At 42.6% G+C, this 27,121-nt stretch overlaps 1 protein-coding gene and 1 pseudogene across 2 annotated transcripts in view, besides 3 other annotated features; both read left to right on the top strand.

Annotated features, from left to right (window-relative positions):
* Window positions 1-27,121, top strand: part of BCL2 (BCL2 apoptosis regulator) — a 196,745-nt gene that overhangs the window by 120,782 nt on the left and 48,842 nt on the right. The gene's annotated exons all lie outside the window — the stretch shown is intronic.
* Window positions 1,692-1,751: an enhancer, noted in NCBI's record as "active region_13463". NCBI's record gives its function as "activates an Ori minimal core promoter by ATAC-STARR-seq in GM12878 lymphoblastoid cells {active_cell/tissue: GM12878}" and the evidence as "EXISTENCE:reporter gene assay evidence [ECO:0000049][PMID:35858748]".
* LOC124904379 (uncharacterized) lies at window positions 4,644-4,724 on the top strand (annotated as a pseudogene).
* Window positions 17,256-17,305: an enhancer, noted in NCBI's record as "active region_13462". NCBI's record gives its function as "activates an Ori minimal core promoter by ATAC-STARR-seq in GM12878 lymphoblastoid cells {active_cell/tissue: GM12878}" and the evidence as "EXISTENCE:reporter gene assay evidence [ECO:0000049][PMID:35858748]".
* Window positions 23,564-23,623: an enhancer, noted in NCBI's record as "active region_13461". NCBI's record gives its function as "activates an Ori minimal core promoter by ATAC-STARR-seq in GM12878 lymphoblastoid cells {active_cell/tissue: GM12878}" and the evidence as "EXISTENCE:reporter gene assay evidence [ECO:0000049][PMID:35858748]".

Below are 27,121 nucleotides of genomic sequence, written 5' to 3'. Positions count from 1 at the left end.
TGTGTGTCTCTGTGTCTGTGCATGTGTCTGTGTGTGTTGTGTGTGTGCATTTGTCTGTGTGTTTCTGTGTGCATGTGTTGTGTAGTGTGTGTGTTGTGTGTGTCTGTGTGTTGTGCGTGTCTGTGTATGTGTCTATGTGATGTGTGTGGTGTGTGTGTCTGCGTCTCTGTGTCTGTGCCTGTACATGGGTCTGTGTGTGTGTTGTGTGTGTGCATTTGTGTGTCTCTATGTGTGCATGTGTTGTGTAGTGTGTGTGTCTTTTGTATGTCTGTGTCTGTATGTCAGTGTGTGTCTGTGTGTGTCTGTGTATGTCTGTGGGTGTCTCTGTGTCTGTGTGTCAGTGTGTGTCTGTGTGTGTCTCTGTGTCAGTGTGTGTCTCTGTGTCTGTGTGTGTCTGTATATGTCTGTGTGTGTGTCTCTGTGTCTGTGTGTCACTGTGTGTCTTTGTGTGTGTCTCTGTGTCTATGTGTGTCTGTGTATGTCTGTGTGTCTGTGTGTCTCTGTGTCAGTGTGTGTCTGTGTCTCTGTGTCTGTGTGTCTCTGTGTCAGTGTGTGTCTGTGTGTGTCCCTGTGTCTGTGTGTGTCTGTGTGTGTGTGTCTCTGTGTGTCAGTGTGTGTGTCTGTGTCTGTTGTGTCTTTGTGTCTGTGTGTGTCTGTGTATGTCTGTGTGTGTGTCTCTGTGTCTGTGTGTCAGTGTGTGTCTGTGTGTGTGTCTCTGTGTCTATGTGTCTGTGTGTCAATGTGTGTCTGTGTCTATGTGTGTCTGTGTGTCAATGTGTGTCTGTGTCTATGTGTGTCTGTGTGTCAATGTGTGTCTGTGTGTGTCTCTGTCAGTGTGTGTCTGTGTGTGTCTCTGTGTCTGTGTGTCAGTGTGTGTCTGTGTGTGTCTCTGTGTCTATGTGTGTCTGTGTGTCAATGGGTGTCTGTGTGTGTCTATGTCAGTGTGTGTCTGTGTGTGTCTCTGTGTCTGTGTGTGTGTCTCTGTGTCTGTGTCAGTGTGTGTCTGTGTGTGTCTCTGTGTCTATGTGTGTCTCTGTGTCAGTGTGTGTCTGTGTGTGTGTCTCTATGTCAGTGTGTGTCTGTGTGTGTTTGTGTGTGTCTGTGTGTGTCTCTGTGTGTGTGTGTGTGTGTATGTCTGTGTGTGTGTGTCTCTACATCTTTGCGTATACAGGGGCATAGCATAGTCATGCAAAACCGTCTTCCTTCAACTCATAGTTCTCTCCTTCCTCAACCAGAAGCCACTCTGCTTTGTTGTGAAAACAAATAAACTACTTTCTTACAAAAGAAAGACCAAATAACCTGAAAAGCTCAAATAAAATCCACCTTATGATACAATATTAAGAAACAGAAATTTTCAATGGAGAAAATCCCACACCAGACTGAGGAAGACAGATCAGTTTAACTGGAGTCTCTGTTTGTTTTATATTTCTTTTCTACTCTCCACTCCCATTTGCCAACAAAACTATGCTCTCTCACAGGGGACAGGTTCACCCCTCAATGTCTGACTAACATGCTTTTCATTTGAATTCAAAATATTTGGTGACGATTGGCAAAGAATGAGGATGGGAAATTGAATATTACATCATCTTATGAAAGCTTCCTCCTCCCTCACTTCCTTCTTCCTTTCTTCCTCCTTTCTCTCCCTTTTTCCCTCCCTCCTTTCCTCTCTCCCTTCCCTTTTCTGTTCCTGCTGTGACCGTTCCCCTGATTGAGCAGACGTGGACATGGGGGAGTCAACTGTAGGAGTGACTGGCGCCTCACAGACACCGTCCTCTGAGGTAGCTGTCACCAGAGGATTGTCACTGAAAATGCAAGAAGAGTTTGGCATTTGATTGCATTCTGCACAATTCAAGCAGGACAAATTGCTGCAGAAGATGACACCAGAAATAGCCACCATGTAGTGGGTTCTCACCACATGACAGACACGGTGCTGCTATAAGCTTGTGACTTGCACTGTCTGAGCCCTGAACACCTGTAGCAGGTACGAGCATTTGCTCCATTTTCAGACCAGGAGACAGCAGCTCAAAGAAAGTGAACGATTTGTCAGTGGTCACACAGCTAGGAAGTGGCAGGGGGCGCTTAGCCGGGTTGGACTCTGAAGGTCATGCAGCATCTTTACACAGACCCAAACCCTTCAAATCGATTTCCACCCATGTGTGTTTGGCAGCCACATGTCAACAAGCCATAACTTTCTTACCTATTTCGGGAAAACATTATTTTCTCTCACCTGTATTTATCGTCATCCTATTTCTGTTGCAAGAAATCAAAACGTGAAGAAGATAGATTTGAAGAAGACCTTTTTTTGGCTACTTCTGATGATGAGATGCAGTTAGGAAGATGGAGTTCAGATGCTAAAATATTGGAATTTCTGATTGATGCATATTCATGGTTAGAGGGAAAGTAAGTTGCACTGTGGAGTTAAGAAATCTGAGAAATACAGGAAATCCAAGCTGAGAAAAACTCATAACTATGATGTTTCCATGTGCAGGAAACTTCAGGTCCTTCTGCGCCCAACCTTCCTGGAAAGCTTTTATTTAAAAAAGTTTTTAAAATTTTTATTTAGTTATTTTTAATTGACAAACAAAAATTGTATATAAAGGCTTTTGTATTTTATCCCGTATGATAAAGGGCCGCACGGTTCTTTCTTGATGCCTGAGTTAAGTGAGCATATTAACAGCATGCAGCGTTCAGCTCTCATTAATTTTCAATAGGCTCATTTACCTTTGACCCTTTTATTTCAAAGCCAAAAAAAAGACCATACATAGAGAGAAACGATTGCATTATAGCTCCTCCTTCAATATGAGTCGCTCAATCTCTAATGGTTTCTTTCCATCGAGAAGAAGGTTTTAGTAACCAAGTGACTAAGTTACCTAGCTAAACTCCCCCCTCCTTCTTTATCAATACTTAATTAGTATTGATGCTTTTCTTGGCTAAATCTCATTTCAGAGCCTGCACAACTGAACTTTTTCCATAAATGAACCTTTTAAAATGTGTATTTGAAATATCTTTCAGCCTAAGAAAATAGTTTTTAACAAGTTATGCATTGATTTCCTCTTACTCTGAAATATTTCTCAAGTGATTTTTCCTGAAAGATTCTTTGTGGTTCATTGAACACAAAAAACAAACCGTGTACCAGGTCTGGTAGAGGTTACAGGGATACAGATAACTTGGCATTTGTTCCCAAGGAGCTTAGGTCTCCAAGAGGAAATAAGACACTTCGACAAATAGCCACAAGGTAAAATAGAGAATTGTCCAGTGCTGTAATTTAACTGCTGATTCCGCTGTACCTAAAAGCTGGTTAAATTATAGTTTTATTGAATGCTAACAAACTCTTATTCCCCTCCTGCATGGAATTTTAAAAACCTTTTATTTTCTCTGGGCTATAATTATGGTGACCACATTTTCCATGGCAAAAATTAAGACACGTCGTCTGACAAAGGATTCTTGTGCCACTTCTAGGTGTGAGACCACCCATACTTAGATTTTTTTTAAAGCAGGCTTTTTTAGGCAGGCCCTATAAAAATAGAGGTTTGTTAAATAGGTGTGTTTTTAGACTTTTCATTAAAAGCCTACAATACAAACAGTATTTTATTTTGTATCTGAATCAACATGTTATATCCTAAAGCACTATTTTACAGCCTAAGGGTGTGTGTTAGTCTATTCATAAAAACATACTGCTGCATAGAGCAATAATACCTGCCATTATCTAGGTGTAATAAAAAGGTCCCAAGTGGTCCTCTCCAGGTCTTTAATTTTCCTTTTGAAGATAAAGCTCCTTCTTTCACTTTCATGGTTCAAGATTTTTGGACCTTGCAAGTGATTGCTATTGAAGTGTGCCAGATGTGAGCAGTTGTGAGCATAGTACTTTAAAAGAAGGTGAAGGAGTGACTTTTTCTTCCTTATTGTCTCCCCTACTACCATCTGTAGTTTCTACACATGTAACTTTTCCAAAACAGCAAGGCATGGGAAGGGATACCAGCCAGGGCCGCCACAGTCCAGGCATGGGACTTCTGAAGTGAGGAGATAGAGATGAAAGCGGCCTGTATTGATAAATGACAGATGATGAAACCAAGGCCTGCTGGACCAAGATTCAATGACTTACCCAAAGCTACACAGCTTGTTGGTGGCAGAGTTAGCTCCCAATCCCCAGCTTTGTGAGCAAGGGAGGTTTCCATCCCCACTATGATGTTTTCTTGGTGTTCTGGGGTCACTCTGGTCGATTTCCATCCACTGTGATGTTGGGTATGCCCCCTCCATGTGACTACATAATTCTAGAATCATAATTCTAAAATGATATATCACTGCACTATCATGGGAAAATAAGCTGGAAGAGCTGGAGAGGCGATGCCTGCCACCACTGGCTCTTCTATAGAGGTGACCTTGCAGGTTACCAGGACTTCCCCAGGCCGACTCTCAGATCCTGAAGCTGAGTCCAAGGCAAGCCTTATACGCCATGGTTCCTGCTCTCCTGGGTATCACTGACCTACTGCTGATCCAGGAACCCTTGGGATCAGACTTTTCCCATTAATGCTTTGTTTATGGTTAAAATATCACAGAGTTTAGTGGGACCACTGCTGTCTTTATTAGATGGTTTTTATACTTAATTATTTTGTAACATGGCTGCACTTGTAAGTTATCTGCTGATTTTTTTGTAGTTCATAAGCATAATGATTGGGTATTCATAGTCATATGTGAGATGTGCCAACCTCAATCTCTATGCTACAGTATAGAGTATACTATAATAATCACTATATTATTACAGCCTGGCCAACATGGTGAAATCCCGTCTCTACTAAAAATACAAAAATTAGCTGGGCGTGGTAGCGCACGCCTGTAATCCCAGCTACTAGGGAGACTGAGGCAGGAGAATTGCTTGAATCCTGTGGGGCAGAGGTTGCAGTGAGCCGAGATCATGCCACTGCACTCCAGCCTGGACAATAGAGTGAGACTCCATCTCAAAAAAAAAAAAAGAAAAAAGTTTAAAAATGTATCTCTTCCATTAAAAACATATCCAATAATTCTGCTAAGATATTTGACTGACCTTCACATTCAGCCTCATTCCAGTGTAACTTCCCATTCATTCATTTCATTCAATGGCTATTTATTGAGCACCTACTATCTGGCAGACACTTTTCTGCTTCAGCATCAAACAAATAGACAAAAATTCCAGCCTGTTTGTGGTTTATATGGGATTGGATGGTGCTAATAACTGTATCGAAAAATAAAAACTATTAGCTTGCCAAAAATTTGGATTACTGTGGGAGCAGAGAGCTAAAGGAAAAGGGAACTCATATGTATTGAATATCAGTGACTATGTCATATGCTGTGTTGTGTGGTTTATCTCATTTAATCATCACAGCAGCCCTGTGAAAGATGAATATGATTATTTTTATTTTTTACAGATGAAGAACCAAGATTTAGGAATATAATATATCTTGCTTAAGGTCATACTAGTGAGGAAATAAATCTACATCAGTCTTTTCAATACCATGCTAGATGTGATGATATCATTTTAGAACCATATGTTTGATATATGGACCACCATACTGAAACCTCAGGGCACATTTTTGTCCACTAATAATATATATCAAGGAATGTCATTTCACAGATGCATGGATACGGAAAATGTGTGTGTGTGTGTATATATATGTATGTGTATATATATGTGTGTGTGTATTTGTATGTGTGTGTGTGTATACACACACACACACACACACACACACACATACATACTACTCCGCCTTAAGAATATTTTCATATGCAACTACATGGATGATTCTTGAGGACATCATGCTCAGTGAAATAAACCAGTCACAGAAGGACAAATACTGCATGATTCCACTTATATGAGCATCTACAGTAGCCAAATTCACAGAAGCCGAGAACACAGTGGTGGTTGTCAGGGCCTAGGGGAAGAGAGAAATGGGGAGTTGCCCTTCAACAGGAATAAAGAATAAGCAAATCTCATGTTAAGAGTTCTTAACACACACACTCACACACAGACACACACAAATGTCACTTTAATGGACATGTTTAAAACATCATTTGAAATGTAGTTGTTAAGTTCATGTTCTCCTTATCATTTTTGTAGATTGATCCTCATTTCTGAATAGCAGTAATCACTACAGTACACTCTCCTTTCATAACAGGCATCTTCCATGGAATACCTTGCCCCAGATTAGCAATTTGATGACCACAGTAACATGTGCTTCTCAGATAACACATGACCTTTCATTTGGCTGAGAACTCAGCGGTTGACTTTGCTAAAAATAGGTCTTTAATGGTTGAGTGTGACATTTCATCACGGGGTGTTATTTGGGAGTTTTTCTCTTCATACATGAAACAAGTATGGCTGTAGAATTGATTACCCTTGTTTCCTTGATGAAACGCATTCAGAATTTCAAAGATATTGAAAATATTTTTGGCCAAAATTAGTTACACAGAAGTATGGAATCTGTCAGTGCTTGGGGACAAAACCCTTCTGTGTATTGAAAATGCAGAAGTAGACAGGGAAGCATTTCTGGGGAGGAGTGAGAAGCTGTATTAAGTCTGGATGCTGGGGCAGGGGTGAAGGAGGAGGTCTTGATGATGTAGGTCTTGACCAGGTTGGAGCTGATGCAATGGCAAGTGCTGTGGCCGTGGTATCCCCTGGTGATGTCATTCCAAGGAGCCAGCTGCCATCAGTGCTTTCAAGAGTCTGGCTCTTTGGGTGAGGGGCACCAAGGGATAGACGTGCACCTCAGGACACCTGCCATCTTGTTGGCCATCTCTCTAGTTTGGGGTCTTTGTGGAAAAGATGTATGGGCCATGCTTTTTAGCTTGTCTTATCACCCCAAATACTTCCCGTCATCCTAGAATAATATCCAGGCTCTCGATCTGATTTCCAAAATCTTACACTGCCTTCGCACTGATTCTCAAGCCTCAGCTCTCACCAACTGCACACTCCCCCATTGCTTGTGGGCCACTCGAACTGACTTCCTGATCCTCCAAACACATCAGGTTGCTCCCTCCTTGGGATCTTCCACTACTTGTGACTTCTGCCTACATTGTACTGCCCCTAACTTTCCCAGGGCTGGCTCCTTCTTGCCTTTCAAATCTCAGCTTAAATGTCACTTCCTTTGAGAGGCTCCCCTGGAACACCCAATCATTCCCTCTCCTATCACCCTACTTTAATTCTCTGAATATTTCTATACAGTCAATGCTGTGCTTGTTTATTCTTTGAGATCCATGAAAGCAGGGACCATGCCTGTCATAGTCCCGACAGTGCTCCCAAGCCCTAGGTGAGCACCCTGCACATAGTAGTTCAATGAGTAGTTTGTCAAATGAAGGAAGGAGGCACTCAGGCTGTAGATGATTTAAATGTAACAAACGTATTTGTAGGTTATTTTTTAATAATGCAAAAGAAATGAAGACTAGGCCAATTTTCTTTTTTAATTTCATATTTCAGCCTCAACGCTTAGTTATTTCTGATTGGTCAGAGATTAATTAATCACATGCAACAGTCTGTCCTGAGGGGGTTCAAATGCACTGCTTTTTCCAGTGATTTGCAAATGCACCGGCCTAAAACCTACTCTCTGGCACAGATTTCAGAATCTCCACTTAACACATCAGAAACCTTTAGGGCTTATCCTGAACTCCAAGGCTGGCTTAACTTCTTCAGTAAGCAGCTGCTTATGCATGGATGCCTACAATGAGTGATTTCACCAGAAACCCACCTCAGCTACTTAAAGTGTGATGTATTTCATACACACAAAGTGTTTTTTCATATGAGTAGGTTAGTGACACTACTGAATACAAATTAACTGTTTTTGAATATACTGGAATCTCACAAAGTTTTTTCTGCCTCAGAAGTGGAATTCAGTTGAAGATGGGTCTGTCCTTAGAAGACCAAGTTATTATAGTTGCTAAAATAAAAATAAATAAAATAAAGACTTCAAAAAACAACAGATGCTGGCAAGGCTGTGGAGAAATAGGAATGCTTTTACACTGTTGGTGGGAATGTAAATTAGTTGAACCATTGTGGAAGATAGTATAGCGATTCCTCAAGGATCTAGAACCAGAAATACCATTTGAGCCATCAATCCCATTACTGGGTATATACCCAAAGGAATATAAATCATTCTGTTATAAAGATACATGCACATGTATGTTTATTGCAGTACTATTCACAATCGCAAAGACATGGAGCCAACCCAAATGCCCCTCAATGATAGACTGGATAAAGAAAATGTGGTACATGTACATCATGGAATACTATGCAGCCATAAAAAGGAATAAGATCATGTCCTTTGCAGGGACATAGATGAAGCTGGAAGCCATCATCCTCAGCAAACTAACACAGGAACAGAAAACCAAACACTGCATGTTCTCACTTATAAATGGGAGCTGAACAATGAGAACACATGGACACAGGGAGGGGAACAACACACTGGAGCCTGTTGAGGGTGGGCGAGGAGAGGGAGAGCATCAGGACAAATAGCTAATGCATGTGGGGCTTAATACCTAGGTGATGGTTGATAGGTGCAGCAAACCACCATGGCACACGTTTACCTATGTCACAAGCCTGTACATGGTGCACATGTATCCCAGAACTTAAAGTAAAATTTTAAAAAATAAATAAAGTAAAATAAGACTTTCACTTACTGGGGCAGGCCCATGGTTTCTAGGGTTGAGAACAATCTCCAGGGGCTTGACCCTCAGGAAGGGAGAATCCCTTCTTCCCTTGCAGGGAGCATGGGCTGGGTGGCAGTTGTGTCCCTGCCATCTGAAAGTGAAAAGTGGACTTTAAATGTTGACTTATATCTCACAATACTATTGGTGTCCAGCTTCTGATACTTCATGGGACATTCCTTTGTACTTGGGATCTAACCTTATTAATTTAGAGAGAAGATGTAGATTAAGTTTCAAAAACCTGACCTTAGAAAAGATGTTTTAAATAAAGAATGGGCTATCATTTGTATTCGCAAATCACAGAGAATGTCCCGTGGCATGGAATCATTTTGTCAAGCTCTGCATTCCAATCCAATTTTTTATTTGCTCTCATCTCAGGGTGGTAATTGTTAATTTGGAGATTATTATTTAGGGTGGATTCAACAGTCTTACATGGGATTCTTTTTAGGGAGAATGATGGGAAATTACCCTTTTTCACATTTTTTTATCCTGGGAGAGGGGGCCTCTATTCTTTCGCTCAGTGTGACAGTGAGAGTGAAGTGAAGAGAAGATTTATGATGCCAAGATCAGGGCTGAGTAATATGGTAAATCCCAGTTTATCTTAAGTGCAGTAAACCCCCAGGCAGCTAGAAGAGTGACGTATTCTGGTTAGTTCAACATTCTATTTAATCTGGGAATACCCAATAGACCACTTTTCCACAACAGATTTTTATAGAATTCAAATACAACAAAATATACTTGACACCACAACTATACTGAACACATATTTATCTCTTCTAATGACTTAAAAGACACTTAAATATCTCACCAAGCCTCAGAGTCACACGGAGAACATCAGTTATCTCAGAAACGGCTGTTAATAGGGATTTCTGGCTGATAGTGGGATGGCCTGTTTTTGCTGATTGAAAGCAGCACTTCATTGGATGCGGTGGGTGGGGGGTGGGACACCAGTTCTCGTTTTCCCAGGTATAATTCGGCAATCTGGGGGGCTTCCTCAAAAATACGTAGAACCTAAAATAGATAATGTATGAAAAGCCCCCTAGTGCTGAGCCTAACGCAGAAAAACATTCAGTACATACAAGATGACTTGACTCAGTTTATCTGTGATTGGTTTGGTTTACTTTTGCTTTTTTCTTTTAGGGGTGGGGGAGCTCTTCCTACATAGTTAAGGGACCTTCAACTAGAGGAACTTGATATACCTAACCTAGGACAAGCAGGAACTTTTTGACCTCCAGCGTTGTTTATGGTTTCAGACTAAGCAACAACAGAAGATAACTACAAGGAACTATCATGAATTATGGCTAAATGCTGAATGGTGACCCTTTAAATCAGTTATTAGTATGACTGGATTGTACCTTCTGCCCTGGGACAAGCCTAGACAGAGAGAGTTGGGAGAAGCAAGTGTAAAAAAGCCTAGGTTGTTTTTCTTTTTCTTTTTTTTTTTTTTTTATATGCTGTTAATGGGAGGGTAAATTCTTGTAAAGTTTTTGGAGAGCGCTTTGACCTTAATTTTGAAAATGCTAAGTTTACATAGCCTTTGTCTTGGTAATTTCACTTCTACAAGTTTTTTCTACCTATGTGTAAGGATGTCTATTACAGCATTATGTATTTTAATTTTGCAGCAAAAAAAAAAAAAAAACTTGGGGAAAAAAAGAAATGTCTGTGTAGGGTACTGGCTAAATTGGTAAACTGATATGAAATAAAATGCTGCTATTAAGAAAGGTGATGGATACATATGAACTCACATTTTAAAATGTCTGAGATTTATTGTAGAGGGAAAAAGTGGAAGTCTGTATGGATAATATTATTTTATTGATGAGAAAAAAATTAGATACATATACAAATGCATGTATATTCATAGCATTTTCTGGAAGGATATATAATATACTGTTCAGCTAATATATAATTTAAGGATTATGAGTATTATAAATTGAAATTAATATTATTACAAATTAATACAAATTAAGATTTGTTGATGTATACATAGTATTATGGTAAAATGAGTATAATTAAATTATTCAAAAGTTTGCTTTCTTACATTTGTTAAATATTTTCCAGTTTATGTTCTAATTTGCTTATTCCAATCTTTATTTCTATCACCTATATAATTAAACTCCAATTCAGTTTAGGGTCATTCATAATTTCCAAACTGATTATTTTACTGTTTCTTCAGTAGTGTTGAAGATAATGATGATGGCACTAGTCATCCCTTATTGAACCCCTATGATGTGCTAAACACTTGTACTTATATTTTCTCTAAACCTCCAAAATTGTAAAAGTTGATGAGGAAGCAGAGGCCCTGCCATCTTAAGGAACTTGCTAAAGCCATGCAGCCAGCAAGTAAGTTTCAGAGCTAGCACTGAAACTCAGGTCTAACGCCAAAGACTGTACTATTTCCATATGTCATTCTGCCTCAGATATAGAGCTGGTGAATTCATTTTTCAGGCAGTGTCTTTGTGGGTAAGACAGATAGCTGCTTAAAAAGAGATAGAAAACATGCTTTGGATTGTTATGGCTTGCTAGCATTTTCCACTCACCATTGTTATTAATTATTCTGTGTTTCCCATTTGTCTTAACTTTGATCGTATACTTACAAAGTTTATGGAAACTGCCCAAGTGCATTCGATTCTGCTGATATTTCCATGGTCTGAACGCCAGCCCTATGAGCAGGGGCCAAATGGAGCATGCCATCTGAAGACTGCTCCAGCTTTCAGAGCTGGACCTGGTTCAAATGGGAATGCCATACCACTGTTTATTTTAATGAGATAAAGAGCAAAGAAAAATAAAAAAGCAAAATCTGCATTTGAAAACATTCAAGTAACGTAATCTGTATTAGTCGAACTAATTCTAAGCCTGGCCTGGTTTTGATTTTAGAGATTTCCACAGCTCCACGTGTACCCCCAGGGTGGCCATGTAGAGGTAACAACAACAATACTAGGAAGACCATTCCAAGCCTCTGTCTCCATTTCTTGCTTTTCTGACACCCTTCACCTGTTCTTTATTCAGCTATTTACTGGGGCATGGTCTTTATCTGAAGTTTTTCCTGGTATTTTCAACCCATTAGGATAAGTGGGGTGGGTGTAGGGGGCTGTGCCCACAAAACAGACATCCAACTTGGTTTTAGGAAAGGCTTTTTAGAGGAAATGATAACTACACGGAGTCCTGAAAGAGAAATCATAGAGGTAGAGGTGCCCACTTATCTAGGTAGAGAGAACGGCATGTGCATAAGGGAGAGATAAAAGGGCACACAGTACATCTGTACAGCTGTGAGTCCCCAAGCATCTGACCTCTCTTGAATGAGGATATTGACTACAGGTTACTTAGTTGACCTTGTTAAAGCCTTATCATATCAGGATTACCAGGGTACAAAAACATTCCTAAAATAAATGGCTCTGTTACTAAACACTCCCCTTATAACACCATTGTTGACACTGTGACTTTTAAAAATCTCTCATATCTGGCCATACCTGTCTCACCTTCCTAAAGTCACACTGACAGATGACACACCAGGGCAAGATGAAAACTGTAGGGACTTGTGTAGAATGAAACGATAACTTCCTGTTCTTAAAAGGGACTGTTGATATAATATCCTTTTTGCAAAAACAGGGAAATGCTTAAGGTTGGAGTTTCTGTTTTCAATAATGAAGATGGATATTCACATGAAAAGAAGACAAAAGAAAACAGAATGCCCCAGCTGTGGGCTAAGCAGTTGGCTATTTTTATTTGTCAGGACAAAAACATCAAATGACAATTCTTTCTTCATTTCTCTTTATGAATCTAGTACTAAAGAATGCTACTAAATCTTAAGTTCTATTAACTCCTGACAATGTATAAACTTGGGTTTACAGTTTATATACACCACAGTTAGGGATTTCCATATATCCTCCAGCTAGTCAAGAAAACCTTTGTTTGGAGTTCTTTACTGACTATTGCATCATCCAAATTTATTTTTTGCCTATGAAAACTGAAAAGGTGAAGACCAAATTTGGAAATTCACGTGTGCCAATGCAGATATCAACATGAACAAAAGAAAAATACATGTATTGGACTTTGGAAAGTAAAATCACAGACCTATTCTGGTTCAAGGTCAGCCATAAGTGGAATTGTAAAGAAAGGCCAGAAAATAATATATGGTTCATACTCAAGAACAAGAATGGTCATATCATGTACAAAATGAATTGAGCTAAAAGATAAACAGTAAAATGCTATGGTTTTTATTGTTAGCAGACTTCCACTAATTATAAATTAAAGGCAGTCAGTAATACCCATAGATTAAAAAGCTAGTTGAAAACTGAGATTCCTGTAGTAAATATTAAGCGTTGTGTGGTACATTAGTCACATGTGTATAATAAAGACAATAAATCCATGTAAGTACAGCAATGATGAAATGTGCATAAAGCAGTTTGAACTCCACAGAAGTAAGCAAAGTATAAATAGATAGCATGCTCAGGCACAGAGAAAAGCAAGTGCTATTTTAGCACTTGAGCTAGTGATAATTTATTGTTCAGGCTCTCCAGTTGAGTCAATGTTTATATGGTGCTATATATTAACTGAAACCAAAATAGTCTGTGCACATCACTGTCTTGGATAGATTACTGAGTGATCAGCAGAAACCATATCAAACAACCACTCCCCTACGAGTGAGGGATTTATAATATTTAAAATATTCATCCTAAAGCTCCAAGCTGTTTTGACAGTTTTGTCTGTTCATAAATATTCTTCAAAGAGAGGCAGTATGGCATATGTAATGGAAAAAGATAGTAAAGTGGTTAGCATTCCAAACTCAGGACCCAGATTGCCTGGGTTCAAGTCCTGGCTCTGTTACTTACTAGCTGTGTTGACTTTGGGCAAGTTACTTAACCTCTCTGTGCCTCAGTTTCCTCCTTAGTAAGTGGGGTTAAGGATAGTACCTACCTCATAGGGTTGTGAAGCCGAAATAATTAATACAAATAAAACATTTAGAATAATGCCTGACACAGAGTGAGGGTTACTACCTAGACTCTGCCACAGATCAGCAGAATGACTTTAGATAGGTTACTTAACCTTGACCTTTGGTTTCTTCTTTGTAAGATGCAAAGGATAATAAACATCTTACAGTGTGACTGTGAGAATCAAATGAGATACCATATGGAAAGCAGCTAGCCCTGAAGGAAACACTTCAGATTTTCTTCTTCTTGTCTCTTCTCATCCTTTCCCTTGCAGGGATATTTGTAAGGACACTTTTTTTAGCATCTCTGTATGTCAAGCACTTTGTTCCTACCCCACTCACCTAGCCTTGACCATACTTTGTGAAATCACAAATAGTCAGACGTTAGAACCCAAAGAATTGACCTGAAGACCTGTCCTTTTATCACGACACTGCTTTTCCATAGAAATACTTCCTTCAGAAATCCTTTTAAGATTAATGCCACCCAATTCTGGCCTACTCACTTCTTGATCAGTGTGGGCTGTATTTTCATTTGTGACACTGAATATGTTTGACCATTTCATGTATATGTTATGTCTTCCCAACCAAAGCCTGTGTTCTGTGAGAGCAAGCATCTCTCATAACTCCCTCTGGTTAGCCTTTCTTGCCTGGCTTTCAGTCTGATTGGATCAGAATTGGACAGGACCAGAGGATTTAGCAGGTCAGGAGTGATTATCAGCTGTGAAGTTGGCAGTGTCGCTAAGGAGTGGAACCAAGATGCCCACTGCTTCTGGGGCCACATTGATCACATTCAGACATCCAGACCCTGGAAAACTCAGGGTCGTTTCTGAGTCTACAGTCTACATTCAAGAAGAAGGGTAGAAATTCAAGAAGTGGCCAAGAAAGACTTTCAACAACTTACTCGGATGTCATCAGGGGAAGACTAAGAGTATGGCCCTCAAGGCGCCTTCAAGGATGGCATTACTTGCTGAATTCATCATGGTCGGGGGGCTTCAACAGTTTACAGAAGCCTTCAAATATTTCAGGAAGCCTCTGCTTCCATCCTACTCTCCCCTGATGGGCTACAGTCTGTATTACAGCAGGAATCCTTTTGCAATGAGTTGCACTTATCTTCAGGCAAATGCCCCAGATGGGGATATGAGGTTTTATTTACAGTCTGCAAAATTTCCCTAAAGAGATTGGTGCAAAGCAGAGCTCTATGGACTTCCTCCTGGCATGCTTGAAGATCTGATCTGTTCATCCCTCAAAGGCCAGATCCATCTCTTAGGGGCTGACACCCATTAAAAGCCAACTATATAGGTGTTCAAACAAGAATGCCAGTGTATTCATCTGTAATGAGAATATTTCAGATTAATATTCATGCTTGCCTGGCCAGCCCATGCTCTCTCTGCAGGGAAGTTTTCCTAGGAAGCCAGATATGCTGCAGAGGCAGCTTGGTGAGCACAGAATCTGAATACAGGAAGTTAGAAGAGTGGGTCGGTGTCAAGCTGAGCCCACACGTGCATTCCCAAGGTCTTCTTAGGTAGTTGGTCAAGGCTCCTTATCCATGGCCAAGGCCAGCGTTGGCCTCTCAACCAGCAGCCGATGAGTCCCTGCTCTGATTGGTAGCTCTGTCTCCTGCAGGTACTCAGTTGAGTTGTAATCAAACACTTCAGGATTGGGACCATTCTGTTTCTTTGCGGGGCCTTTTTCTCTTCTGCTCTGTCATGCGTCTGTGCCACTGTGGTCCTGGGGATGGTATGTTTGAGGGCAGGGCCCCATGCAGGCTCCTTCCACAGCATAATGGAGTGCTGCCTTAAGATACACTCAAAGAAGGGTGGTGAGAGAGGTGTGTGGTTATTCTTGCTAACATAAATTGCACTGTTTAATGTACACAAGAGATGGGAAAAAGAAGAGAGCAAAAGAATTCTCTCCAGGCAAATGTTTACTATGGAAACTGTGTGATTACAGATGTCCATATACAATTCTCAGACATCTGTTTAAGCCCCCCGCCCCCGCCCCATGCAGAAGGCGATGGCGTGTTTCCTTTCTTCTGAACTCCTTCCACACATGGAATGATGCCATTGCCAGCCCTTGTCTTCAGTCGCCTTTTTCAGAATTGGTTTACTTCTTGTTGTCTTTGAATTTTCTCTCATCTAGAGGCTGCTTTGGCCCTCTGAGGTACCCACGGGCACAGCTGAGCTGATGGCCAAGCGCGGAGGCCCCATCTGCAGCTGTCTCTCATGAGGAACAGCTGTCCCATGCCCATGGGGAGAGCAAGTCCTGTGTCCCAAACAGCTCTGTGCCCCACCTCACCCTCTTCGCCATAATAGCTCAACTTCCATGAAGCCTGCTGTGATGTGAGCCACAACACCAACTCCTGGGTGGGGGTGGGGGGCATTTTCCTCTCCTGGAGCAATAGAGGAGCAGACACCTGCCCTCTTCTTTCTCTCCCTCACTGCTAGCCCACAGCCAAGAGGGAGGTGTCCAGAGGGGTCATTTCCTGCCCTCTCTGGTGGCTTGCCCTCCATGAGTTGCTGTTACCCCTTCTGCACGCTCATCTGCCAGCTGATCTTACTTCGGGTGGAAGGTTTTGTGTTTGTTTTCCTTCCCCAGCACTTCCTTGTCCATAGCAAGGGGTGGGTCTGAGCCCCACCATCAGTGTGACATGCATCTGCTCATTTGTGCATTGACAGAGATTCGTCAGTGACCTAGGCATGCCCAGCTCGGTGCTGAGTGCTCCAGGCAGTACCGTGGCTTCAACAGTTTGCAGAACCCTTCAAGTATTTCAGGAAGCCTCTGTTTCCATCCTGCTCTCCCCTGATGGGCTACAGTCTGTCTTACAGCAGGAATCCTTTTGCAATGAGTTGCTCTTATCTTCAGGCAAATACCCCAGGTAGGGACATGAGGTTTTATTTACCGTCTGTAAAATTTCCTTAAAGAGATTAGTGCAAAGCAGAACTCTATGCAAAATTTTTTTGTCCTACATGTGGTATGCATGTTTGTGTGTGTAATAAAACTGCAGAGTTGATTTGCAGAATGGGCCAATGAAGCCTGTTTTATGGTCTAATTTATGGCAGGAGAATGGAGTTTGCACAGCCACCCCTTGTTTCAGGCTGTTTAATATGCAGGGTGGCTGTGGTAGCTGCTCTCTCTTCTTCCTGTCACCCACCCTGTGGACATCCCCCGGTCTCAAGGGAGCAGCATATGTTTTTCCACAGTCCCTTCTCTGCAGAGGCCAGCCAAGGACGCATTTTGTCCATCAGGTGTTAGGATCCTCGCTCCATGCGGTCAGCTGGTGGTAGCTCTGTGTTTTCTCAGTACAGATGTGGCTGGACTGGCACTGGGACCACCTGATCCTTCTTCACAGGGCTCTGTTTCAAACCGTGGGCTGGTGGCCAGACCCTCTTCAGCCTGAGCATGTCCAGGTGAATCTCCTGATTGTGCAGGCTGTGGCTGACAGCTCTGGATAGGGAACAGCTTCCAACCTTGGCTGTCCACTAGAATCAGCCTGGAGTATTTAAAAGTTCTGGTGTCCAAGCCACACCCCAAATCAATTCTGCCACACTCCCTAAGGATAAGACCCAGTGCTCTCCAAGTGATTTCACTGTGTTTGCAAGATTGAGACTAACTACTCTCTGGGAAAAGAGAAAGGAGGAAAGAGGAAGGCAGAGCAAGATAAGGGGAGAAGATTGGAACCAGGGAGAAGGAAGAAATCAAGGGCTGGCCAGAGGTGGTGAAGTAAGGAGGTGCCCCCCAGCAGGTGCCTGGAGATCCCCAGCAAAAGGACGATGTGCCTGCCCCATCTCTGACCCTGCACTTGGACGTGAGGAACCAAGAGAGGCTCAGAAGAGGAGGCAGGGCTCCTTCTGTGGAACCTGCATGCATCTGCCCTTCCCATCAGACAGACTGCTTCCTAGCCGTGGATTTCCAGATCCAGAGTTCACTGGAATGTCTCTTAGCTTCTGTTTCTTCATCCACAAAACAGAGACGTCAAATCGTACTTGCAGGTTGTCATGTGGATTTGATAGGATGATGGTGAAGTTGGACACATGTCTGACATTCTGCAAGGGAAGCTTAATGATGATAGACCTTAGAAGAAGTCCACAACTCTATTTCAAGTTAACCCTCCCCATAACTTCGTTCTCTCTGCTGTGCTGAAAGGCAGTGGTTCTGAAATGTTGTTTTAGGAGAGCTAAAAAGAAACACAGAGGTCCGGGCTCACTGACGGGTCCAGGCATCTGCATTTTTCCCAAGCGCCCTGGGTGATTCTGACGGCCAGTGCTTGGGATCCTCTCTACAGGTGAAGGTCCCAATCGCAAAGCTAAGAGAGAGAGATTCTGTGTTGCTCACAGAGCTTTACTGCCTTCCAGGGCTTGTTTTGCACCTCCTAGTTGCTCTTTCTAATGATTTCAGTGACTGTCCCACCTCAACATAGGAAAGAGGGGTATGCGAGGCGTGCCAGGGCCAGCAGCCACACAGGGGTAATTTTGGCTAGGTTCCACCTTTCATTTACAAGTCAAACTGAGATGAACTCTAAAACTGGCATCCTCCAAATTAGTAACCTGCAGCCAAACAAGGAGAAAACGCTTTTTCATTTCTGGTGGCAGAGGTAAAAATGACTGGTCTGTCTTGCATGTTGCACTTGCTTGTCCTGAAAGCTTTACATTTGGGGCCTCCGTCGTGAGCCATGAGAGTGCATGGTGAAACAAAGCATCTTCTCCACATTAATATTTGTTTTTAAAGGCATGAAAAGCCCCTTGGATCACAATGAATCAAAGCGTCTGTACACTGACACGTTTCCACTGGGCATTGTGGGAATGTTGGTCTGTGGGAGCCCACAGGACCCTTGGTGGATTTACTGCTTATTGTTTTTGCTGTAACTATAATAGGAAAAGGGATGTGTCTGCCCATAGGAGCAGCTACCGTAGGAGCCCTGAGAGGCCCGGGAGCTGGAGGGCTAAGGGACCTTGATGATGGAGAGCCCCATCACTAGTAGTTTGAGAGCCCCATCACTAGTAGGGGGTCTAGGAGCATTGGCTGGAGACCCCCTATCCTACAATGCAGCTTCAGTTCCCCCTGCTTCTCCGAGGCAGAGTTCTCACCAAGGGCAGTACTCAGCTGGCTGGCAGCGAAGCATTCACGTTGCCGTGGTCAGCCTGGGAAAGTGGAAAACGCCATGGAGATTAAGCCTGGGGTGGGATGGGCGGTCTGGGGTGGGGTGGGCGGACAGCTTCTGCCTCCACCTTCTCTCTCCAGGGGAAGCAGTGCTGCTCAGCAGCCCCCATAGAGCCGGGGAATCGGAGCAAGCCGTTTGTTTTCCGTTTCACAAAGGAGGAGAAGGGATTCCTGCTGCAGTTTTTGCTGAAGAGCAAGACTTCCTAGCAACACCCAGAGCTTCTGCTTTAGCAAAGGATTTTAATATCTCCCTTCCCTGCTCTTCCCCATTTGGCTAGGGAGCTGGTGTCTGATTCAGAAAAGCAACTTGGCTATAGGACATCAGTGTTCCTATGGCTAAAACACATTTTCCATAAGCCGTCAGGGGTTAATAAAATATCAGCTAGGCATGTGTAGTGGGTTTGGAAGGGAGAAGAAGGGAGGAAAATGAAAGGGAAGAAGGAATGATGCCGAAAGGTAAGGGTTTCCTAATCAGGTGAAGCATAGTGCTTAATTGATAGATTGCGTAGATGGCCATGTGCTTTTGTAACTTGGGGCTCTGAGGTCTTTCATGAAAGGGATAGCTATAAGACATTCATCACAATACTGCAGAAGTCTCATTGAGTGAGAAAAGAGAAAGCTAAATGAATGATCAATCAGAGAATAAGGACACTTACAACAGCAATGAAATCGAGCATCTGTTGAGCTACTGTGTGCTATGCTGCATTCTAAACACTATAATACCTGGCAACTCATTTCATCGTCATAAGAACTCTCACCGGCGAGTTAGGTACTATTATCATCCCCACCGTAGGAATGAGGATGAGAGGGCTTGATCGGAATCTCTTGACTTAATCAATGTGAGTGTCCATCCAAGGACCACAGGTAAGATTCAGGCTGGGTAAAGACTGAGTCCTTTGCTGAGATATGCTCCCTCCCCTAGGTGGAGTTGGGAACCTTCGCCTCCTTACCTGCCTTCCGCACCGCAACATAGGGCTTTCTGGGAACCAAGCCCATAGGATTAGAACTCCTTTGGTATCGTTACCTTTCCTCACCTTTACAAATAGCACCAGGAGAAAACATGGGAAGGGGCTCTTGTGTATTATAGCAGGCACAGACAGTTCCAAATATTTGGGATGAGATGAGAGCCCCAGGGGCCCTAGAGGGACTCAGGATGGCCTTTTCGGGGGCTGGAATGTACGGTGTGTCTGAGAATCTGGCAATGCTGCCAACCGGAGCAGCTTTCTCTCAGCCTGTCTCAAATTCTCTCCTTTTCTGCCCATGTCTAGAGAACTCAGACACCTTTTCTTTTCCCTCCACTCCAGCAGCCTTACTGAGCGCATTCCCAACTCACAGGAAATGTTCAGGGGTGGGTGGACCATTCATTCCCACTCTCCATTGCAGAATCTTTGTGTGTGAAGGGCAGGAAAATAGGTTAAAACAGCCATTGGGCACTCATGCTGTGCTTCAGGAAGTCTGCTCCAAGATTCCCAAGCAGGCTCAAGAATGGAAGCAGAGAGCAAGCCAGAAATATCCTTACTGCTTTATTTTATTATTATTTTTTAAATTGCATGTTGGTGCTTTTCCATTAATTTTAATTGACTCAAGTCCCATGACTTTTGTGATCCCCAAATCCTCCATAAACTCACTTCAACTGACTTTTTTTTTTTTTTTTTGCCTTGAACCCCTTTCCCTTCCCTGCCTGGGAACCTGCCCTTTAAATTGGTCATGGCTGGGATTTTAATCACTCCTCAAAGGCGCAGTGACAATTTCACAACAAAGCAGGGAGGTTGGGGGTGGGAAGGGGAGGGAGTTTTGTTTTCTACTCCGATTAAGAGAGCAACTGTTCTCTGTTTGTCCCCTGGGGCCCACTCTTGGCACCAGGCTGGGGAGACCTCAAACTTGGTGTTGCAACATCCATCAGACCCAAGTGAGTCTGGGGCTCCTCAAAGGTGAACTGCAGCTGTTTGGATAAAATTCTAAAATCTTGTTTGGGAGATTCTCAGCCCTTGTTTTACAATCGTTCTTCCTGGCAAAGAAACCAGGAAGTTTTACTTTCCCAGGATCTCAGGCAGGTAATTGTTTTCCCAAACTGTATTTTAATCTGATGGAAATGGACATTCTTTGCTCTGAGAACCTTCGCCCACATCCATAAACCGTTTGTATCCGCCTTGCGCATGGGAGGCTCGATTACACAGCGCCCCGCCCTCCCCTGAGACGCGCTTCCATCTCTGGTTATAATTTAGGGCCATTTTCATTTCTAAACAACAGTTACGAGCCTTTTAGTCTCTTGGCATCTCGGAGTGCTTTCCTGTTCAGCGGCGGACCACAGCCAGGTGGTGGGTGATCTCCCGAGGTTGGGAATTGGCAAAATCCCTTACGCGGTGTCATTTTTAAGCAAAGCAGCATAAACGGTGACGAGCTGGTAGTTTCTGCCATAACCAATGCTTTCATGGCCCCCAGGCTCCAACTGATTTATCATGAGGCCTCTTGCTCAGGGGACTTGGCTCACGCCTGAAACACCAGAGGCCCCGAGTCTGGGCCCTGAGCTCACACTGGGACTGTGAGCTTAGGGAAGTGGCTGCACCAGTCCTTTTGGAGGTGTGCACGTGCCCTCCTCATGCAGGCTGACCTGGCGGGGCTCTTATGGGGAGGAGGGGGGCTGAGTTAATTCTCCACCCCTGCACTTTCTGGAGATGCGGAGAGTCCACCACAGGGAGGCAGATCCAGCCCTCCCTAGTGAATTAAGTGACTGCAAACAGAGTCAGCTTGGAAGCTTCAGGCAGGGTCCTACCCCCTATCTCCGCCCCTTCTTCTTGGGGGCTGTTTCTTGACCCATCATTAAAAATGTAAAAGCCAAAACGTTTCAGGGGAAAAGTCCAATTTGCCAGAATAACTTTGTTACTCATCAACAAATACTGATCTATCACACCTTGTGCTAGGTGCCTCCACGCTGGAGAAGTAGCCAGCCCATTTAAAATGTCAGCAAAGATTCCAGTTGTCTAAACGCGCCAGGGACAGGCAAGGAGGATAAGTGGTGTGAGGAGGATGCTGGGACTCAGCTGAAGTTGGAAAGCTCACAGCCGGTATTCAGAGAACTGCAACAGGGTCCCCTGGGATATTAGCACGCGGGGAACCTGCCCCAGCATCAGAGGCCCTGGGTCAGGCCTGGTTTCTTAGGTGTTCTTTGTGCTACTCCTCATTTTGTGGAGAGGCATCCTTGGTAGAAGTGAATTTTGTAAAATATGCAAAGGTATGGCTGAATAGTGAACTCTTCCCCTGTCCTCAGGAAAAGCACATTTGGTACCTCCTGTCAGAGGGGACTCAGCAATCCACTAAAGACTTTTTTTTTAATTTATTTTTTACTTTTGAAAAATGTTGGCAGGGTGCAGTGACTCACCCCTATGGAAGCGGGTGAATTACTTGAGCCCAAGAGTTTGAGACCAGCCTGATCAACATGATGAAAACCCGTCTCTACTAAAAATAGAAAAATTACATGGGCGTGGGGGTGTGCACCTGTGGTCCCAGCTACTCGGGAGGCTGAGGTGAGAGAATCACCTGAGCCCAGGAAGTCGAGGCTGCAGAGAGCTGTGATTGTACCACTGCACTCCAGCCCAGAAGATGGGAGTGAGACCCTGTCTCAAAAAAAAAAAAAGAAAAGAAGAAAAACATCAAGTTCTTCGGGAAGGGTTGGGAGGTGATAAAGAGAGGCTGATTAATGGGTACAAACATACAGTTAGATGAAGGAATAAGTTATTGTGTTTAATAGCACAGTAAGTTGGCTATAGTTAGCAATTTATTATATATTTCAAAATAGCTGGAAGAGAAGATTTTAAATGTTCCCAACACAAAGAAATGATAAGTGAGGTGATGAGTATCCTAAACACTCTGATTTGTTAGGTATTGTATGCATGTATCAAAATATCACATGTACTCTATAAATATGTATAATTACTATGTATCAATTGTAAAAAAAAGAAAGAAAAGACTATTACTGCCCTTGCCCATTTACCCGCTACTACCACCCACTCACTCTTTTATTCACTGACTTATTCACTGTTTGATTTATTCATCCTTTCTTTCACTCGTTCACTCACTCATTCAATCAACAAGCAGTCCCTGAACAAATGCTGACTCTGTGCCTGACACGGTCTAGGCAGGCAAACACCCTATTGGGAGCCGACAGGAGGAGGGTTTTGGAACCCTGGTCCCCAGGTGCCTGACCACCCACATTGGCCTCCTAGGCTGCCCTCCTCAGGCCCACTGGGTCTCTAGTGTCAGAAAGGACTGGCCAGAGGATGAGAGACAGACCAATTTGTTAGGTTAGGTCTCATCATTATAGAAAATATTGAATAGTCTGCCAGTGATTTTATCTCAAGCATTCTCAAAACACTCATTTCCATCCTGCCATTGCTCCCCATGCTAATAAAGGAAAATTCTTTCAATAGACCATGCCAAGTCCTGACCAGAGCGAACAGAACAGCTCGTCTAGGGAAGCAGGCAACCAAACCACGCTGTGGGAGTTCAAGCTGAGATCATTTTTTAGATTTCCCTTTGCTTGAAAATTCCATCCACAATTTTCACCCACCTTCCCATCATCCCAAGTCATGTATCCTTCCATCATAACAAGTCACATCTCCAGTGTGAGTGCCTCCCATGTCACAGGCAGCAGAGAAGATTACAGTGAAACTATTCAGAGAGGTGTGAGCCCCGTAGAAAGCTGGAGATCAGAGGATGCCCGTCTCTCAGGCTCCTGATACTCTTAAGAAGGTGTCTAAATAGATTGTCTCCTGAGTAGTCCCAATAGCTTTGCTGTCTGATGTGGCGTGGAGCTCCAGACAACTTTGTCTCCCTGAGAGTATTTTTGGGCACCTGTGTAGTGGGAGGAGGAGAGAGCAAGGGTTGGGAAATCTGACTTTGAATCTCCTCTCTATCATTTACCAGCTGATTGATCCAGGCCACCCCTTCACTTCCTGAAGCCTGAATTTTCACACTTTGGGTTCCTTCTTAAATCCATTGGTAAAACAGGTTTAGCACCAATGGGGACCTTACATGAACTAACAGGGCTGGAATTCACCTAGGTTGCCCAGCTGTGCTGGCTGCTTACAGCTGGCTGAAGCCTAGTCTGATTGGCCTAGGTGCACACTATGCTGGTTGCTAGATGTTTTGAATATGACTTTTGGAAATAATATATGTGAAAGTCTCTAGGCAGTACAACAGATGGTTAGCTAATTCGACTATAGCATTTGGCTAGTACCACTCCCACGTCTAACTTAAATTATGTTTCATAATTTTTTTAATCAATTGACAAATGGAACAATCTTTAAATTTGCCTGTATCTTTTGAGGGTCAACAAAGAAGTTATTCAGTGTTTAGGGCTGAGCCTTCTTTTCCAGTATTTTTTCATGAATGCTAGTGATTTGGTTGCCCAAAGTTCCAGGGAATGAACTTTATCCAAGCTTTGGAGAGTGACTGAGGAAGTGCTTGTGGGGGGCTTGCGAATGACGATAATATTTGAGGAAGGTGGCTTTTGACAAAATGTGGTAGACTTCAAACAATGTCAAGACAGATACCCCTCAACCTGGATTTGTGGGTCAGTGTGGCATCTTAGGTGAAAACGGCAGACATGTGTTTTTAGGAGTATGCTATATAGTTCTTAATGGAATTCCACAAAATTTAGTGTTTTGGGGGAGATGACAGAGAGATTGAGGGAAGACCGTAGAACTTCTTAATGCTTTTTTTTTTTTTTTTTTTTGAGACAAAGTCTCACTCTTGTCCCCCATGCTGGAGTGCAGTGGCATGATCTCGACTCCCTGCAACTTCCGCCTCCTGGGTTCAAGCAATTCTCCTGCCTCAGCCCCCCGAGTAGCTGGGATTACAGGTGCCTGCCACTACGCCCGGCTAGTTTTGGTATTTTTAGTAGAGACGGGGTTTCACCATGTTGGCCAGGCTGGTCTCGAACTCCTGACCTCAGGTGATACACCCGCCTCGGCCTCCCAAAGTGCTGGGATTACAGGCATGAGCCACCATGCCCAGCCTCTTTATGCTCTTTATAACAGAAAATGAATGTACCATTTTTTACTTGGGTCTCAGAAAAGACAAGTATGAGTTGGTGTTTAACATTAGACTAGGTTGTAAATTGACAGGAGAGCCATCCACATACATCAGAAAAAGAGGAGCAGAGAAGAAAAAAAAAACAACAATAAAAGACCTGAGACATCCATTCATCCACCCGTCCATGCGTACTAGAAATTCTGAGTTTCAATTGTGTTTCTCATTGAGTTTTGGGTTCATAGTCTTGGCTGGGTCCCTTAGCATTAAGTGAAACAACTGCTAACCTAGGAAGTAGGTAATCTTTGTTTATTTATTATCTGTAAAATGAGGAACAAAAGAGTACTCATTTCATAGAGGTTTTAAGAATTAAATGAGTAAATATACATATGTGTATGTGTCTATATATAGTCATATATACATATAGTATTATAGATGTGTGTGTGCATCCTTTGATAATTAAATTACAGCTATGTATCCTCTCTCCAGAAAAATTCACAAACACAAGAAACTTAGCCTAATATTTTCAGAGATTTTCCAAAGCCATGGGCCTCATTCCAATTATCCAAGTGAGGAAACCCTTTCTATACTGAAATTCTTATTATGTTTTTCTCACTTAAAAGGAAACTGCAAGTCAAATTTGATTATAGTCAGTATTCTACAATAAATATTTCTTTGTGGTTTTCATCCCCCTAAGATTTTTAAGCTCAGTCATGTCTAGAATATACCAAATGATAAGAAGTCTGATACAAACAAGAAGTCTTGTCCTATTAGAGTTCATAGTAATAGCATTTGATCTATAATAACAGAAAAAATATTGCATGGACATACATTAATCTATTCCTGAGCTTAACTCCAGATGAGGAATCAGTTTTTATATCTCATTTGTACAGGGTGGAGAGAGATGGGCTTTTTTCTTTCGATTTGTTTTTCCACGTCTATTTAGAGCAACCAAAATAGGAAAACTGCTGCACAGGTCTTAAAATTCACTTCCTCCATCCGCTTTCCGAATTCTGCTCCAGGTCTGATGACTATAACTTTTTATACATGTCATTTATTTTTATTTTTATTTTAGTCTAAATGTCTCTTCAAAAACACCAGGGAAAAACATTTTTAGCTTCACTAAGAAAACAAACATGTTTAAACAACCCCCAAAATGTTCAGGTAGAGTCGGTGTTTTTGGCTTGTGTGTATTTTAACGGTGAGCCTAGCAAAATATATGTTGGAAACAGAATTTTTCTTCATCTTACATGTGCCAGTTTCTTTCTGGAATAAAACAAAAAGGAGAATTGATCACAACTTCTATATTGGAGCTAAACTTCTTGTGGTTGTGAAAGGTTATTTCAAGTTAAACAATATGATGTCTTTTTTCAGTTTTTAATTACGATTATGTGCCAGTTTCTTTCTGGAATAAAACAAAAAGGAGAATTGATCACAACTTCTATATTGGAGCTAAACTTTTTGTGGTTTTGAAAGGTTATTTCAAGTTAAACAATATGATGTCTTTTTTCAGTTTTTAATTACTATTTATAGACATCCTGCGTAGAGTCAATCAATGGGAATGCAGGCTATGGTGCAAGTGAAGACAAAGCTGACCTAAAGGAGGAATGAATGCGGAGTTGAGATCCGTTGGTGCATCATGACTTTTCTGCCTTCATGATCTCATTGAATACTTTTACATTTTCAGGTAGAGTTGGTCATTTAGATGGGAATTCACTGTTTTTGTTTTTTGTTTTTTGTTTTTGAGACACAGTCTTCCTCTGTCGCCCAGGCTGGAGTGCAGTGGCACGATCTCGGCTCACTGCCAGCTCCACCTCCCAGGTTCACGCCATTCTCCTGCCTCAGCCTCCCGAGTAGCTGGGACTACAGGCGCCCGCCACCACACCTGGCTAATTTTTTATATTTTTAGTAGAGACAGGGTTTCACCGTGTTAGCTAGGATGGTCTCGATCTCCTGACCTTGTGATCCACCCGCCTCGGCCTCCCAAAGTGCTGGGATTACAGGCGTGAACCACCACGCCCGGCCGGGAATTCACTGTTTACCATTTTGATGCCTACTCTCAGGGCATGATTGTTGAGTCCCCAAAGACTCAAGTGGGAAAATAATAATATTCTGATGAAAAAGCCAGATCCATCTCACCAGTTCTTCAGGACCAAGCAGCATCAGGGTGTTTAGTGTCTGCGTTGTTCTTGCTCAACAGACAGATAAGTGAGGAATAATACTCACGAGTGAGGAGATAGTAGCTGTGCAGCAAGTGAGTACGTGAATGAAAGGATGTGAAAAGTAATTACCAGGTGAAGTGCTCTGTCCATCTTTAGAAATTGTTCATTAGGATTG

This window comes from Homo sapiens, chromosome 18 (genome assembly GCF_000001405.40).
Source record: "Homo sapiens chromosome 18, GRCh38.p14 Primary Assembly".
NCBI lineage: Eukaryota > Metazoa > Chordata > Mammalia > Primates > Hominidae > Homo > Homo sapiens.
This window is presented reverse-complemented; position numbering and strand designations above follow the sequence as displayed.